At 55.7% G+C, this 13,823-nt stretch overlaps 2 annotated features.

Moving 5' to 3' along the window:
- Positions 9,834-10,385: an enhancer, noted in NCBI's record as "H3K4me1 hESC enhancer chr19:1690999-1691550 (GRCh37/hg19 assembly coordinates)". NCBI's record gives its function as "activates a minimal SCP1, AML or CMV promoter by ChIP-STARR-seq in primed H9 embryonic stem cells {active_cell/tissue: H9 hESC(primed)}" and the evidence as "EXISTENCE:reporter gene assay evidence [ECO:0000049][PMID:30033119]".
- Positions 10,386-10,936: an enhancer, noted in NCBI's record as "H3K4me1 hESC enhancer chr19:1690448-1690998 (GRCh37/hg19 assembly coordinates)". NCBI's record gives its function as "activates a minimal SCP1, AML or CMV promoter by ChIP-STARR-seq in naive and primed H9 embryonic stem cells {active_cell/tissue: H9 hESC(naive and primed)}" and the evidence as "EXISTENCE:reporter gene assay evidence [ECO:0000049][PMID:30033119]".

Here is a 13,823-nt window from a genome sequence, read left to right as displayed (position 1 = left end):
GGCCAGGAGCCACGGGGGTGATCCTGAGTCTGCCCGTCCTCAGCTGTGATGGGGGCTCCCCAGGGCACCTTCTGGGGGAGATCTCAGGTCCTGCTTTGGGTTCTGTGATGGAGAGGGGGGAGCAAAGAGAGAGAGGGAGGAGGAGAGAGGGAGACAGAGAGACAGAGAATGAGATAGAGACAGAGAGAGAGAGAGGCAGAGACAGAGAGACAGAGACAGACACAGAGACAGAGAGAAAGATAGAGGCAGAGAGAGACACAGAGAGACAGAGAAAGAGACAGAAAAAGACAGAGACACAGACAGAGAGAGGCAGAGAGTGAAATAGAGAAGAGATAGAGACAGAGAGAGACACAGAGAGACAGAAACAGAGATAGAGGCAGAGAGAGACAGAGAGTCAAAGACAGAGATAGAGAGATAGGAAGAGACACAATCAGAGAGAGGCAGAAACAGAGAGACAGAGAGACAAAAAGACACAGAGACAGAGGCAGAAGAAATGGAAACTAAGAGGGAGAGACAGAGACCCACAGAGACATAGAGAGACACGGAGAGATAGAGAGAGACGGAGAGCGCGCAGGAGCCAGGGACACCGGTGGGCTGCAGATGCTCCCGCCCGTCTGCACCTCTGGCCCCAGTTCTGGCTGCCCCGCACCCAGCCCCCACCCCACAGCAAGAGGAGAGAAGCCCCAGCGGCCGCCTCGGCTATCGATCGTCCTTGGTTGCTGCGGCTGGAGCAGGCGGGGATCAGGGTGGCCTCATCTCCCTCGGCAGCAGCCACAACGCCGGGAGACCCAGCCCAGAGACCCCAACACCTGCGGGCCGGCGGCGGGGGCCAGGAGGAGTCACGTCCCATCTCTGCCCCTTGGGAATACGGATGGGGGTCAAGATCTGGGCACCCCCACCCCAACCCACGGGTCTGCCCCAGGCACCGTCTCAGCCTCTGACCCCCTGAAAGGTGTGCATGGAGTATCCTTCCTGCCCCAGGTTCCAGGGCCGGGGGTGGGACCCCCAGCACACAGTGGGTCTTGACACCTCTTTGTTCTGGAAACAGAGCATCCATCTGGGGCCTCAAGCCTGGGCCCTCTCTGGCTCCCTGCCAGGTCCAGGCTGGAGCCTTGAAGCCGGGCACAGTCGGATCCGACACCTGGGTCCCCATGGGGCCTGGGCCAGCCTTGGTGGCCACGCCTGTCAAATGGGGCCGCGTCTCGGCCACAAGGGAGGCGGTCACAGTAACTCCAGAGCCTGGGCTCCTCCTGGAAGGCAAGGACCAAAGTCCAGGCCAGCTCCTGTCCCCCATCTCCACATAGGGGTCGGTATGGGGGTGGGAAGTGACCGGGACCAGCAACCCCCCGGCTCTGTGAGGCTCAGGCGGAGAGCAGGACCCCACCAGCTTCCACGTGCTGGTGCCTTCTGAGCCCCCCTCCGTGTATGCATCCTTGGGGGCTCACAAGGGCAGGAACCCCCAGACCTGCCACAGACCAGGGCACTGAGGCTGGAGCAGAGCCCCTGCCTGGGCTCGCCTGTGGCCCCCCAAGACCCCCAGGCCTTGCTCTCCAGGGTCATGGGTGCCAAGGGCCACCAGGCTCTCTACGTTTAGAGCAGCCAAATCTCCAAACCCAGGGTGCCCCTAAGCCCCGCCTGGGGTCTTCCCCACCTCCTGGTGAAGGGTCAGGGCCCCACCCTCCCCTCCCCAGCGGCCGGGGCCAGGCTGAGCATACCCTGGGCTCTGGTTCATTCCGGCATGAGGCCCCATGCCAGGCACATGGCACAGCCCACGCCCCCAGCCCCACTGTCAGGGCCGCCCCGCCCCGGCTCTGTAGAAGGCAGAGCCCCTTGCAGTTCGAAGGAAATTCAAGTCCTGACTCCGAGACAGGCCGGATCGGCCGGGAGGTGACACGGTGATGCTGAGACTCCCTCGGTGGGTGCCACTTGGAGAGGGGGCAACACCCGGACCCCGCCCAGCAAGCCGGCCCCAGGAGGGTGGGAGCGCCAGGGCCTCCCTCCCAGCGGGGGTTCTCACCCCCGAGACAGCCCAGGGTCACAGGACTGGGCTCCCAGCCCCCCATAAAGGCTTCTTAAACAGCCTGCTTGGCCAACTGTCATCTCCATTAATGCATAAAAATCATTAGGCACCGGTCCCGAGACCCCGATCGTAAACCAGCAGGTCCCCGGGGCCCTCACCCGGGCGGCAAATGGCATCCAGGGGAGGCTCCCAGGCCCCCGCGGCGCCCGCCCCGCCCGGCCCTCCACTCGGAGCCTCTTCCGATCGATGTTATGAAGCAGCTTGGGGTTCGTCAATGCTCCCGCTCCCGCTTTATGCCCCTGTTTAAAAATTCTTAATTAAGCAGGTTTTTTCTGTTTACACTTGAACTAATTACACTTTTAAAACCAACAATAAAACATTAGGCCCAGGCTATTAAGAGCTTCGGTGCAGGCCTGCGGCGCGGCCCATGGGGCAATTCAGGAACTGGGTCCTTCCATGGGAGATAGGAGTGCCGGGCGGCGGGCGGGTGCCAGGCGTCCCTTAAGAGGGTCCCCGGGCCTTATCCGCCTTCCTGGAGGGTGGGGAGGGGACAGCAGGCGCCCTGATGAGCCGCGCTTCCGCCCCCCCGGCGGCCGATGGACCTATTGATCGCATGGCCTTATCCACGGTGCATCTTCCGGGGCATCCTCGGAAGACGTGGTCCGTGCCAGGGAGGGCTGAGGGCCAGCCAGAGGGAGAACCGGAGGGCCAGGAGGGTCTGAGGCGGAAGATTTGGGTGCCGGGTCAGCAGATGGTGACTCTGGCCCCTGGACAGTGTCCTGAAGGGCGTTCAGTGGCCTGGCCCCAGAGGTGGGAGCATATTTGGGACTGGGGCGACATGTGCAGGCCCAGGGGGCACCATGGGGTTCCCAACAAAGCCCCCCATCCCTTGATGGGCATCTGAAGCTCTGTCTGAGCTGGACCAAAGCCGGCCTCCCGTCCCACTGCAGAGGCACCTGGGCCGGGTCACTGGTGGTGACTTCAAATGCTCCACGTGCACCACCAGCCGGGGCTCATGGGCTCCTTGGCGTGGAATGTCCTCCACCAACTTCCTTCTCTTCTTATTTCTTGAGACAGGGTCTCGCTCTGTCACCCAGGCTGGAGTGCGGTGGCGCAATCATAGCTGACTGCAGCCTCAACCTCCTGGACTCAAACGATCCTCCCACCTCAGCCTCCAAAGTAGTTGGGACTACAGGTGTGCATCACCACACTCGGCTAATTTTTGAATTTTTTTGTTTGCTTTGTTTTGTTTTTTGAGACGGAGTTTCACTCTTGTTGCCCAGGCTGGAGTGCAATGACACGATCTCGGCTCACTGCAACCTCCATCTGCTGGGTGGAAGCGATTCTCTTGCTTCAGCCTCCCAAGCAGCTGAGATTACAGGCATGAGCTATCAGGCCCAGCTAATTTTGTATCTTTAGTAGAGACAAGGTTTTACCATGTTGGTCAGGCTGGTCTTGAACTCCTGACCTCAGGTGATCCACCAACCTCAACCTCCCAAAGTGCTGGGATTACCGGCATGAGCACCGTGCCGGCCTGAATTTTTGAAATTTTTGTATAAGTTGGCGGGGGTGGGGGGTGGTCTCACTATGTTGCCCAGGCTGATCTCGAACTCCTGAGTTCAAGCAATCCTCGCCTCGGCCTCCCAAAGTGCTGGGATTACAGGCATGAGCCACTGTGTCCGGCCAACCTCCACCAATTTAGGCCTTAGCTGCTTCCGCCCATCCCTCAGTCCAGCTTGGTGGCCGCCCTACAGAGCTTCCCGAAGCTGATGTGAGCCTCTTGAGCTCCTCAGACTCTAAGAATTTTTGAGGCATGGGGCCTTCTAGGCTGTATCCGCAAGTTGCTGTGAGCACTGATACCTCGGGGGCTGCTCTGAAGACAGCCACAGGGTCCCCCAGGGTCCACTGGGGCCTTGGTCTGTCCTCTCTGCATGACCCCATCTCACCCACGGCCCCACCATCCATCCCATCTCCCAGGAGAGTTGCTGCCCTCCTTCGCACCCCACCCCGATGGTTACCTTCTCCAGCATCCTCGAGTCTCACCCAAGTCTCCCTGGAATACGCCCGCTCTGCCATGTTCCAGCAGCCCTCACCTTCTCCCAGCCTCACCTCTGGACTCCACCCTCGAGACCAGGCTCTGCAAACTTTCTTTCTTTCTTTCTTTTTTTTTTTTTTTTTTTGAGATGGAGTCTCACTCTCTCACCCAGGCTGGAGTGCAGTGGCGCGATCTCAGCTCACTGCGAGCTCCGCCTCCCGGGTTCACGCCATTCTCCTGCCTCAGCCTCCCGAGTAGCTGAGACTACAGGCACCCGCCACCTCGCCCGGCTAATTTTTTGTATTTTTAGTAGAGACGGGGTTTCACCATGTTAGCCAGGATGGTCTCGATCTCCTGACCTCGTGATCCGCGCACCTTGGCCTCCCAAAGTGCTGGGATGACAGGCGTCAGCCACCACGCCCGGCCCTCTGCAAACTTTCTATAAGGGACCAGGTAGCCAATGTTTTTGGCTTTTTGAATTGGACAGTCTCTGTCAGGACTGCTCAGCTCTGCAGTGGCAGTAAAACCACCACAGACAATATATAAGTGAGTGGCTGTGGCTGTGTGTCAATAAAGCTTTATTTATAAAGACAGACTGGCCAGGTGCTGTGGCTCATGCCTGTACTTTGGGAGGCCAAGGCTGGTAGATCACCCCAGGTTAGGAGTTCAAGACCATCCAGCCTGACTAACGTGGTGAAACTTCATCTCTACTAAAATTACAAAAATTAGCCGGGCATGGTTGCACGCACCTGTAGTCCCAGCTACTTGGGAGGCTGAGGCAGGAGAATCACTTGAACCCGGGAGGCAGAGGTTGCAGCGAGCTGAGATCGCACCACTGCACTCCAGCCTGAGTGACAGAGTGAGACTGTCTCAGAAAAAGAAAGAAAAAAAAAAGTAAGAAAAAAGTATCATTCAAAGTGCTAACATTAAAGCTTTTTTCTTTCTTCTACAGTCTCTCTCAACTTGTCATAGTTTTCTTCAATTTGCTATTCCACATCATTCTACAGTTTATTTTACATATTTTTTAGACAGAGTCTCACTTTCGCCCAGGCTGGAGTGCAGTGGTGCAATCACAGCTTGCTGAGGCCTTGACTTCCTGGGCTCAAGTGATCCTCCCATCTCAGCCTCCCAAGTAGCTGGCACCACAGGCATGCACCACCACTGTATTAGCCTGTTTTCATGCTGCTGATAAAGACGTACCTGAGACTGGGAAGAAAAAGAGGTTTAATGGTCTGGGCACAGTGGCTCACGCCTGTAATCCCAGCACTTTGGGAGGCTGAGGTGGGAAGATCATGAAGTCAGGAGATCGAGGCTATCCTGGCTAACATGGTGAAACCCCATCTCTACTAAAAATACAAAAAATTAGCTGGGCCTGGTGGTGTGCACCTGTAGTCCCAGCTACTCAGGAGGCTGAGGCAGGAGAATGGTGTGAACCCAGGAGGTAGAGGTTACAGTAAGCCAAGATTACGCCACTGCACTGCAGCCTGGGTGACAGAGCGAGACTCCACCTCAATAAAAGAAAAGAAAAGAAAAAAAAAAGAGGTTTAATGGACTCACACTTCCACACGTCTGAGGAGGCCTCACAATCATGGTGGAAGGCAAGGAGGAGCAAGTCATGCCTTACATGGATGGCAGCAGGCAGAGAGAGCTTGTGCAGGGAAACGCCCGTTTTTAAACCATCAGATCTCGCGAGACTCATTTACTATCACGAGAACAGCGCAGAAAAGACCCGCCCCCATAATTCAATCACCTCCCACAGGGTTCCTCCCACGACACGTGGGAATTGTGGGAGCTACAATGCAAGATGAGATTTGGGTGGGGACACAGCCAAGCCATATCCACCACACTTGACTGATGTTTTCATTGTTTTGTAGAGATGGGGTCTCACTGTGTTAGCCAGGAAGGTCTCAAACTCCTGGGCTCGCATGATCCTCTCACCTCGAATTCCCAAAGTGCTGGGATCCCAAAGGCGTGAACCACCTAAAATTTTTTTAATTTTTAAATTTTAAAAAACTTTTAAATTTTTTTAAGCCTAAAATTTTTAAAATTTAATTTATTATTGTGAATTTGACCATTCATCTTTATGCTATGTAATGCCAGGTTTAAATACAACTATTGAAAGAATTTCATCATTTGGTCTGGAAATATTGGCTATGGTTCTTTAAGAACATGTGACTTGTCTACAGAATCACCTAAATTAGGCCATTTGTGTTTTGGAGATTGCATGAGCATATGTGTTTGGTTCTGATGGGAACAACTGAAACACTGAACAAAATTAACCTGTTTTTATTTCACTTTTTCTTTCCTTTTCTTTTCTTTTTTTTGGAGATGGGATCTCACTCTGTTGCCAAGGTGGGAATGCAGTGGTGCAATCACAGCTCACTGCCACCTCAACCTCCTGGGCTCAAGCAACCCTCCAGCATCAGCCTTCAGAGTAGCTGGGACTGGAGGCATGTACCACCATGCTCGGCTTATTGTTTGTTCATTTTTTTGTTTTTTAGAGATGGGGTCTTGCTATGTTTTCCAGGCTAGTCTTGAGCTCCTGGGCTCAAGCAATCCTCCCACCTTGGCCTCCCAAAGCGCTGGGATTACAGGTATGAGCCACCATGCCCAGCCTTTATTTTACCTCTTCGTGCACGCCTATTCTACCAACTCTCTCACACACTCACCTGGTACTCGTTTTGGGTCTCGCTGAACTCTCATGAGCTGTGGGATCCTGGATCTCTGTGCCCCTGGGCATAGTGACCACTAGGTGCAAACAGACCAACATGGAATAGCTAAGCACACACGTTTTCAGGACCTCCCTTGCTCACAGGCTCGCTCCACTGTTCCACTGGACTTCACTTATAAAACACAAGTTCAGGCTGGGCGTGGCCAAGGTGGGTAGATCACGAGGTCAGGAGTTTGAGGCCAGCCTGGCCAATGTGGTGAAACCCCATCTCTACTAAAAATACAAAAAAATTAGCCGGGTGTGGTGGCTCACACCTGTAATCCCAGCTACTTAGGAGGCTGAGGCAGAAGAATCACTTGAACCTGGGAGGCAAAGATTACAGTAAGCTGAGATCACACCACTGCACTCCAGCCTGGGTGACAGAGCGAGACTGCATTAAAAACAAACAAACACACACACACACACACACACACACACACACACACACAAGTTCAAAGATCAAATTAGCAAAAGCATCAAGATGGTGACAGACACCAGAGCATTAAGCCAAACATGAAACCCTGAACCACTGGGCTACACATCCATGAAGCCGGACCAGCCAGATGGGCCTGGTAGACAGCAGGCACTTAACAAATGCTTGCCAAGTAAATCGTTGGAATATGTTGGAGATCATCTAATCTCTGGGGGTTTGCAGTGTTCCTGGCAGCCTCAGAGGCTGTGAACATCTCCCAGCTCCAAGGTAGGGTCAGGAATGGGGGAGTTGTGTAGGGAAGTGTCCTCTGGGCGAGCTGAATAGTGGCCCCCCACAGATGTGCACCCCCGAATCCTAATCCCTGAAACCTATGGATAGGTCACTTTACATCCCTAAAGGGACTCTGCAGATGGGACTAAATGAAGGACCTTGGATAGGAGATCATACTGGATTATCTGGGGGATGCCCAATGTCCTCACAGGGTTCTTTTAAGAGGCGGCGGGAGGGCCAGGAGCAGTGGCTCATGCTTGTGATCCCAGCACTTTGGGAAGCCAAGGTGGGTGGATCACTTGAGGTCAGGAGTTCGAGACCAGCCTGGCCAACATGGTGTAACCCCGTCTCTACTAAAAATACAAAATTAGCTGGGCGTGGTGGCAGGTGCCTGTAATCCCAGCTACTCAGGAGGCTGAGCCAGGAGAATCGCTTGAACCTGGGAGGCAGAGGTTGCAGTGAGCTGAGATGGTGCCACTGCACCCCAGCCTGGGGAGTCAGAGAGAGACTGGAAAAGGCAGCACTGTGGCTGTGAAGGGGGAGAAAGGGCCCTAAGATGAGGGATGCGGACGCCTCTAGACCCTGGGAAAGGCAGGAAATGGGTTCTCCCCTGGAGCCTCCAGGAGGGACCAGCCCTGCCCATGCCTTGATTTTAGGATTTCTTATCTCCTGAACCATGAAAGCATAAATCTGTGAAGTTTCGAGCCAATAAATTTGAGGTCATTTATTACAGCAGCTGCAGGGCAGGCACCCAGCCTGCACCCCCACCTGGAGGACAGGACTCTGCTTGCATCTGTCTGACACACCCACATTCTGAAAATTGATTCTTCTTGCCGGGCGCGGTGGCTCACGCCTGTTATCCCAGCACTTTGGAAGTCCAAGGCGAGAGGATCATTTGAGGTCAGGAGTTCCAGACCAGCCTGGCCAACGCGGTGAAACCCCATCTCTACTAAAAATACAAAAATTAGTAGGGTGTGACAGTGGGTGCCTGTAATCCCAGCTACTCAGGAGGCCGAGCCAGGAGAATTGCTTGAACCTGGGAGGCAGAAGTTGCAGTGAGCTGAGATCGTGCCACTGCACTCCAGCCTGGGCGACAAGAGCGAGACTCCAACCCAAAAAAAAAAGAAAGAAAGAAAGAAAGAAAGAAAGAAAGAAAGAAAGAAAGAAAGAAAGAAAGAAAGAAAGAAGATTGATTCTTCCAATAAGGCATTCTGACCAGGTGCAGTGGCTCACACCTGTAATACCAGCACTTTGGAGACCGAGGTGGGCGGATCGTCTGAATTCAGAAGTTTGAGACAAGCCTGGAAAACATGCTGAAACCCCATCTCTGCTAAAAATGCCAAATTAGCCGGGTATGGTGGCACATGCCTGTAATCTCAGCTACTTAGGAGGCTGAGGCAGGAGAATCTCTTGAACCCGGGACGCGGAGGTTGCAGTGAGCCGAGATCGTGCCATTGCACTCCAGCGTGGGCGACAGAGTGAGACCCCCGTCTCAAAATTTTGTATTTTTAGCAGAGATGGGGTTTCAGCATATTTGCCAGGCTAGTCTCAAACTCCTGACTTCAGATGATCCGCCCGCCTCTGCCTCCCAAAGTGCTGGGATTACAGGCGTGAGCCACCGCGCCCTGTCAGGATGCTATATTGGAAGAATCAATTTGGAGGCTGGGAAATTTGGAGGCTAGAGGAGGTAACCCATTAGTGATTTCAGAAGGAGGGGGGACACACCAGGGGAGGGGAGAGGGTTGCAGGGCCTTCATGGGGGGGTTACCCTATGGGAGACCCCAAAGCGGGGACAGTGGGGACCTCTGAACTAGGACACCCTAGGCACAGGGGCAGCCGGGCGCCAGGCTGGGGACCTCCCACCCGTCTCCACACACAGAGGCTCCGGCTCCTTCCGGAAGGACTGCCTGGATTTTCGGGGCAGGTGCTGTGTCCCTCCCTGACACTGGGGCTCCCCTGCATTTTGGCCATCAGCTGCCCACGGCCCCCTTCCTTCTCATGGGCACCTGGGACAAGTGAGGGGCACAGGTGGATTAACACCTGACTGAGGATGAGTCTCTCTCTTCCCGGCAGGGCCCTGGCTGAGACCACCGTCAGGGGCCGCCATCAGCTGGTGAGTCCACAGCCCGCCCCAGGGCTGCAAATTCGGGGGTGGGGTGTGGTGTGTTCCTGGGCTGTTTTGGGGAGGATACACTCTGGGGAGGCCCCTGTGTCTAGCATGGCCAAGCTGGTGGGGAGGACGGGCTTCAGGTCACAGTGGCCCCCTGCCCCGTGTGGGGAGGGACAGAGGACACGGCAGGTGGACGGCAGCAGGCGGGGAACATGGGGACCCCTTGGGGACAGGCAGGTGGCAGGAAACACTTGCCTGGGGTGGAGGTCACAGCTGGAGAAGGGGGACATTCCCAGCAGCCTGGAGCAGGGGCTCCACAGGGGCCGGTCCAAGCCTCTTGCCCACAGCCAGCCCAGCTTTCTCGAACAGGCGTTTTCCCGAGTCTGGGGCGGGGGGAGCATTTCTGAGAAGGAAAAGAGTCCCTCAGGGTTTCGGGGTTTCTGAGAACCGTTTCCACCTTTTCTCAGAAGTGCCTCCCCCAGACCCATCCCCGGGCCCCAGCCTGACAGGCATCAAACCTCCACTCCAGGGCTCTGGGAGGGGGTGAGCTCCCCGTCCCTGGGGAGTGCAAGCCGGCGCGGAGATGGGGGCCGGGCTGGGGACCAAGGCTTCCTCCAAGCCGGTGAGGGTCGTTTCCCAGCTCAGACAGAGGCACGGAAATCAGCTGTGGCCACTTCCGTGTTGGAGAAACTGAGGCGCAAAGACAAGACCTGCTTGGGTCATTCCCATGAGTTCAGAGAGGGGAACCGAGTGGGTGCGGCGTGGCCTCATGTGGAGGCAACTGACGAGGGGCGGGGCAGGTGGGCGTGGCTTTGGTGGAGGGGCGCTGCCTTGTGTGGGCGTGGCCTGTGTTTGGGCGTGGCCTGCTGTGGCCGGCTTTCTCATGGGGCGTGACGCCAGGTCCCCTAGAGGGAAGGGGACATTTGCGACCTCCCTCCCTCCCTTCCACATCCAGGCTCTGGAGAAGCGACACAGAACGCAGTCAGCCGGCCTCTCCCTGCAGGAGCTGAGGGTCTAGCAGGGCGGGGGTGTGGACTGCAGCAGTGGTTCCTTTGACACGGAGTATATTTCGTTCTTGCCACCCAGCCTCTGACTTGCTGCTTTGGAACTCCACCTCATTTCACCCTCGCTGCAAATCACCTGTCTCACAGATGGGGAAACTGAGGCTCTGAGAAGCCAAGCAGCTTGCCCAAGGCCCACAGAGGGTCTGAACTCGGGTCCGGCTGCCTCTAGAAGGCTTACAGGGAATCCGGCCTCAGCCTCCCCCAGACCACCAATTTCCAAACTCATGCAAAATTGTCCTCAAACTGCCAACCTCCTCCTTCCTACCAGGCGGCTCCAGAAAGAAATGCCAACTGTCTGTCGGGCGCAGTGGCTCACGCCTGTAATCCCAGCACGTTGGGAGGCTGAGGTGGGAGGATCGCTTGAGGCCAGGGGGTTGAGATCAGCCTGAGCAACACAGAGAGACCCCCGTCTCTAACAAAAAATAAAAAATCAGGCCGGGCGCGGTGGCTCACACCTGTAATCCCAACACTTTAGGAGACCGAGTCGGGCTGATCATGAGGTCAGAAGTTCGAGACCATCCTGGCAAACATGGTGAAACCCAGTCTCGCCGGGCGCGGTGGCTCACGCCTGTAATCCCAGCACTTTGGGAGGCCGAGGCGGGCGGATCACGAGGTCAGGAGATCGAGACCATCCTGGCTAACACGGTGAAACCCCGTCTTACTAAAAATATAAAAAAAAATTAGCCGGGCGTGATGGTGGGCGCCTGTAGTCCCAGCTACTCCGGAGGCTGAGACAGGAGAATGGCGTGAACCTGGGAGGTGGAGCTTGTAGTGAGCCGAGATCGCGCCACTGCATTTCAGCCTGGGCGACAGAGTGAGACTTTGTCTCAAAAAAAAAAAAAAAAAAAGAAACCCAGTCTCTACTCTACTAAAAATACAAAAATTAGGCTGGGCATGGTGGCTCACCATGTAGTACCAACACTTTGGGAGGCTGAGGCAGGTGGATCACAAGGTCAGGAGTTCAAGACCAGCCTGGCCAACATGGTGAAACCCCGTCTCTACTAAAGATACAAAAAATTAGCTGGGCATGGTGGCATATGCCTGTAGTCCCAGCTACTTGGGAGGCTGAGGCAGGAGAATCGCTTGAACCCTGGAGACAGAGGTCGCAGTTAGCCGAGATCATGCCATTGCACTCCAGCCTGGTGACAGAGCCAGACTCCGTCTAAAAAAAAAAAAAATAGCCGGGCATGGTGGTGCATGCCTGTAATCCCAACTACTCAGGAGGCTGAGGCAGGAGAATCGCTTGAACCCGGGAGGCAGAGGTTGCAGTGAGCCGAGATCGCGCCATCGCACTCCAGCTTGGGTGACAGAATGAGGCTCTGCCTTAAAAAAAAAAAAAAAAATCAGACCTGGCGGTGTGCACCTGTGGTCCCAGCTCCTCTGGAGGCTGAGGTGGGAGGATCACTTGGGCCCAGGAGGCCGAGGCTGGCACAGTGAGCTGTGTTTGAGCCACTGCACTCCAGCCTGGGAGACAGAGTGAGACCCTGTCTCAAAAAAAAAAAAAAATCTGTTTCTAATCTAGCGACTTCTCCCCACCTCTGCAGCCCTCCGCAGTCCTCAGCACCCCTTGCCCCCAGCCTGGACGTTGCTCCCAGACCTCCTTTTGTCTCCCCTCCTGCCCTCCAGGTAGTCCAAGAAATGACTTTTTTTTTTTTTTTTGAGACAGAGTCTGGCTCTGTCGCCCAGGCTGGAGTGCAATGGCGTGATCTCGGCTCACTGCAACATCTGCCTCCCGGCTTCAAGCGATTCTCCTGCCTCACCCTCCCGAGTAGCTGGGATTACAGGCACCTGCCACCTCGCCTGGCTAATTTTTTGTATTTTTAGTAGAGACAGGGTTTCACCATGTTGGCCAGGTGGGTCTCAAACCCCTGACCTCAGTTGATCCACCTGCCTCAGCCTCCCAAAGTACTGAGATTACAGGCGTGAGCCACCGCGCCCGGCCAGAAGGGACTTTTCAAAGTCTGGAGTTTCACCATGTTGGCCAGGCTGGTCTCAAACCCCTGACCTCAGGCGATCCACCTGCCTCGGCCTCCCAAAGTGCGGAATTATAGGTGTGAGCCACCGCACCCTGCCCTAATTTTTATATTTTTATACGAACTGCATCGTTGCCCATCTCCACCTGCCAGAAGCCCCCATGGCTTCTCCACTTCTCCGGAAAGCACAAATCCCCGCCCTGTCCCCGTCTCCACCTGGTCTCCCAGGCTCTTCCACGCACCATGCACCCTGCTCCAGGCAAACTGGCTTTTACTCTGCTGGTGTCTCAAGGCCTTTGCACATGCACCCTCTCTGTCTTGTCAGCTGGCTGTCCTCTGTATCCTCAAAGCCGCCTCCTTCAGGAGCCCTCCCCGATCCCAGGCAGAGCTTCCGAGGTACCCTCCGGGTCCTCCTCAGCTCCGGGTCTCCCTCTCCCACCCCATTCTGGTCCCACAGGGCTGGAGGTCATCCACACCTAGCAAAGGTCTACGGGGTCTCAACAACTCCTTGGGTGGATGGGTCTTTGCTGCTTTAGGCCTGGTCCTCAAAGAGGGGAGAACCTGCCTGGGCCCCACCTTGGCCCTGTCGCACGCAGGCCACGCCCCCTGGGAAAGCCGGCCCCTATAGACGACGTCCACATGCAGTTAGCGCGTTTGGCCCCGCCCCTCCACAAAAGCCTCACTCACTTGGCCCCGCCCCCTCGTCAGTCGCCCTCCGATGCGGCCACGCCCTATCCATCCCACCCATTCGGCTCCCCCAGCTCCGGAGTGGCTCCAGGTTTGGGGGCTTTTCTGATCACATGTTTTCTCTTGTTTTGTTTGTGTTTTTTGAGACAGAGTCTGGCTCTGTCGCCCATGCTGGAGTGCCGTGGCACAATCTCAGCTCACTGCAACCTCAGCCTCCCGGGTTCAAGCGATTCTCCTGCCTCAGCCTCCCAAGTAGTTGGGATTACAGGCGCCCGCCACCACGCCCGGCTAATTTTTGTATTTTTAGTAGAGACGGGGTTTCACCATGTTGGCCAGGCTGGTCTCGAACTCCTGACTTCAGGTGATCCACCCACCTCGGCCTCACAAAGTGCTAGGATTACAGGCATAATCCCTGATCATAGGTTTTCTAGAACTGCTTCATAGCAACCCCACTCTTCTTCTCCTCTTGGGGACAATGATAGGCCCTTGGCCACCCCTCCCTCTTGGCCCTTCTTCCTCCA

The sequence above is a fragment of the Homo sapiens genome, chromosome 19 (genome assembly GCF_000001405.40).
Source record: "Homo sapiens chromosome 19, GRCh38.p14 Primary Assembly".
Taxonomy (NCBI): domain Eukaryota; kingdom Metazoa; phylum Chordata; class Mammalia; order Primates; family Hominidae; genus Homo; species Homo sapiens.
The sequence above is the reverse complement of the archived record's forward strand: the minus strand, read 5'-3'. Positions and strand labels throughout refer to the sequence as shown.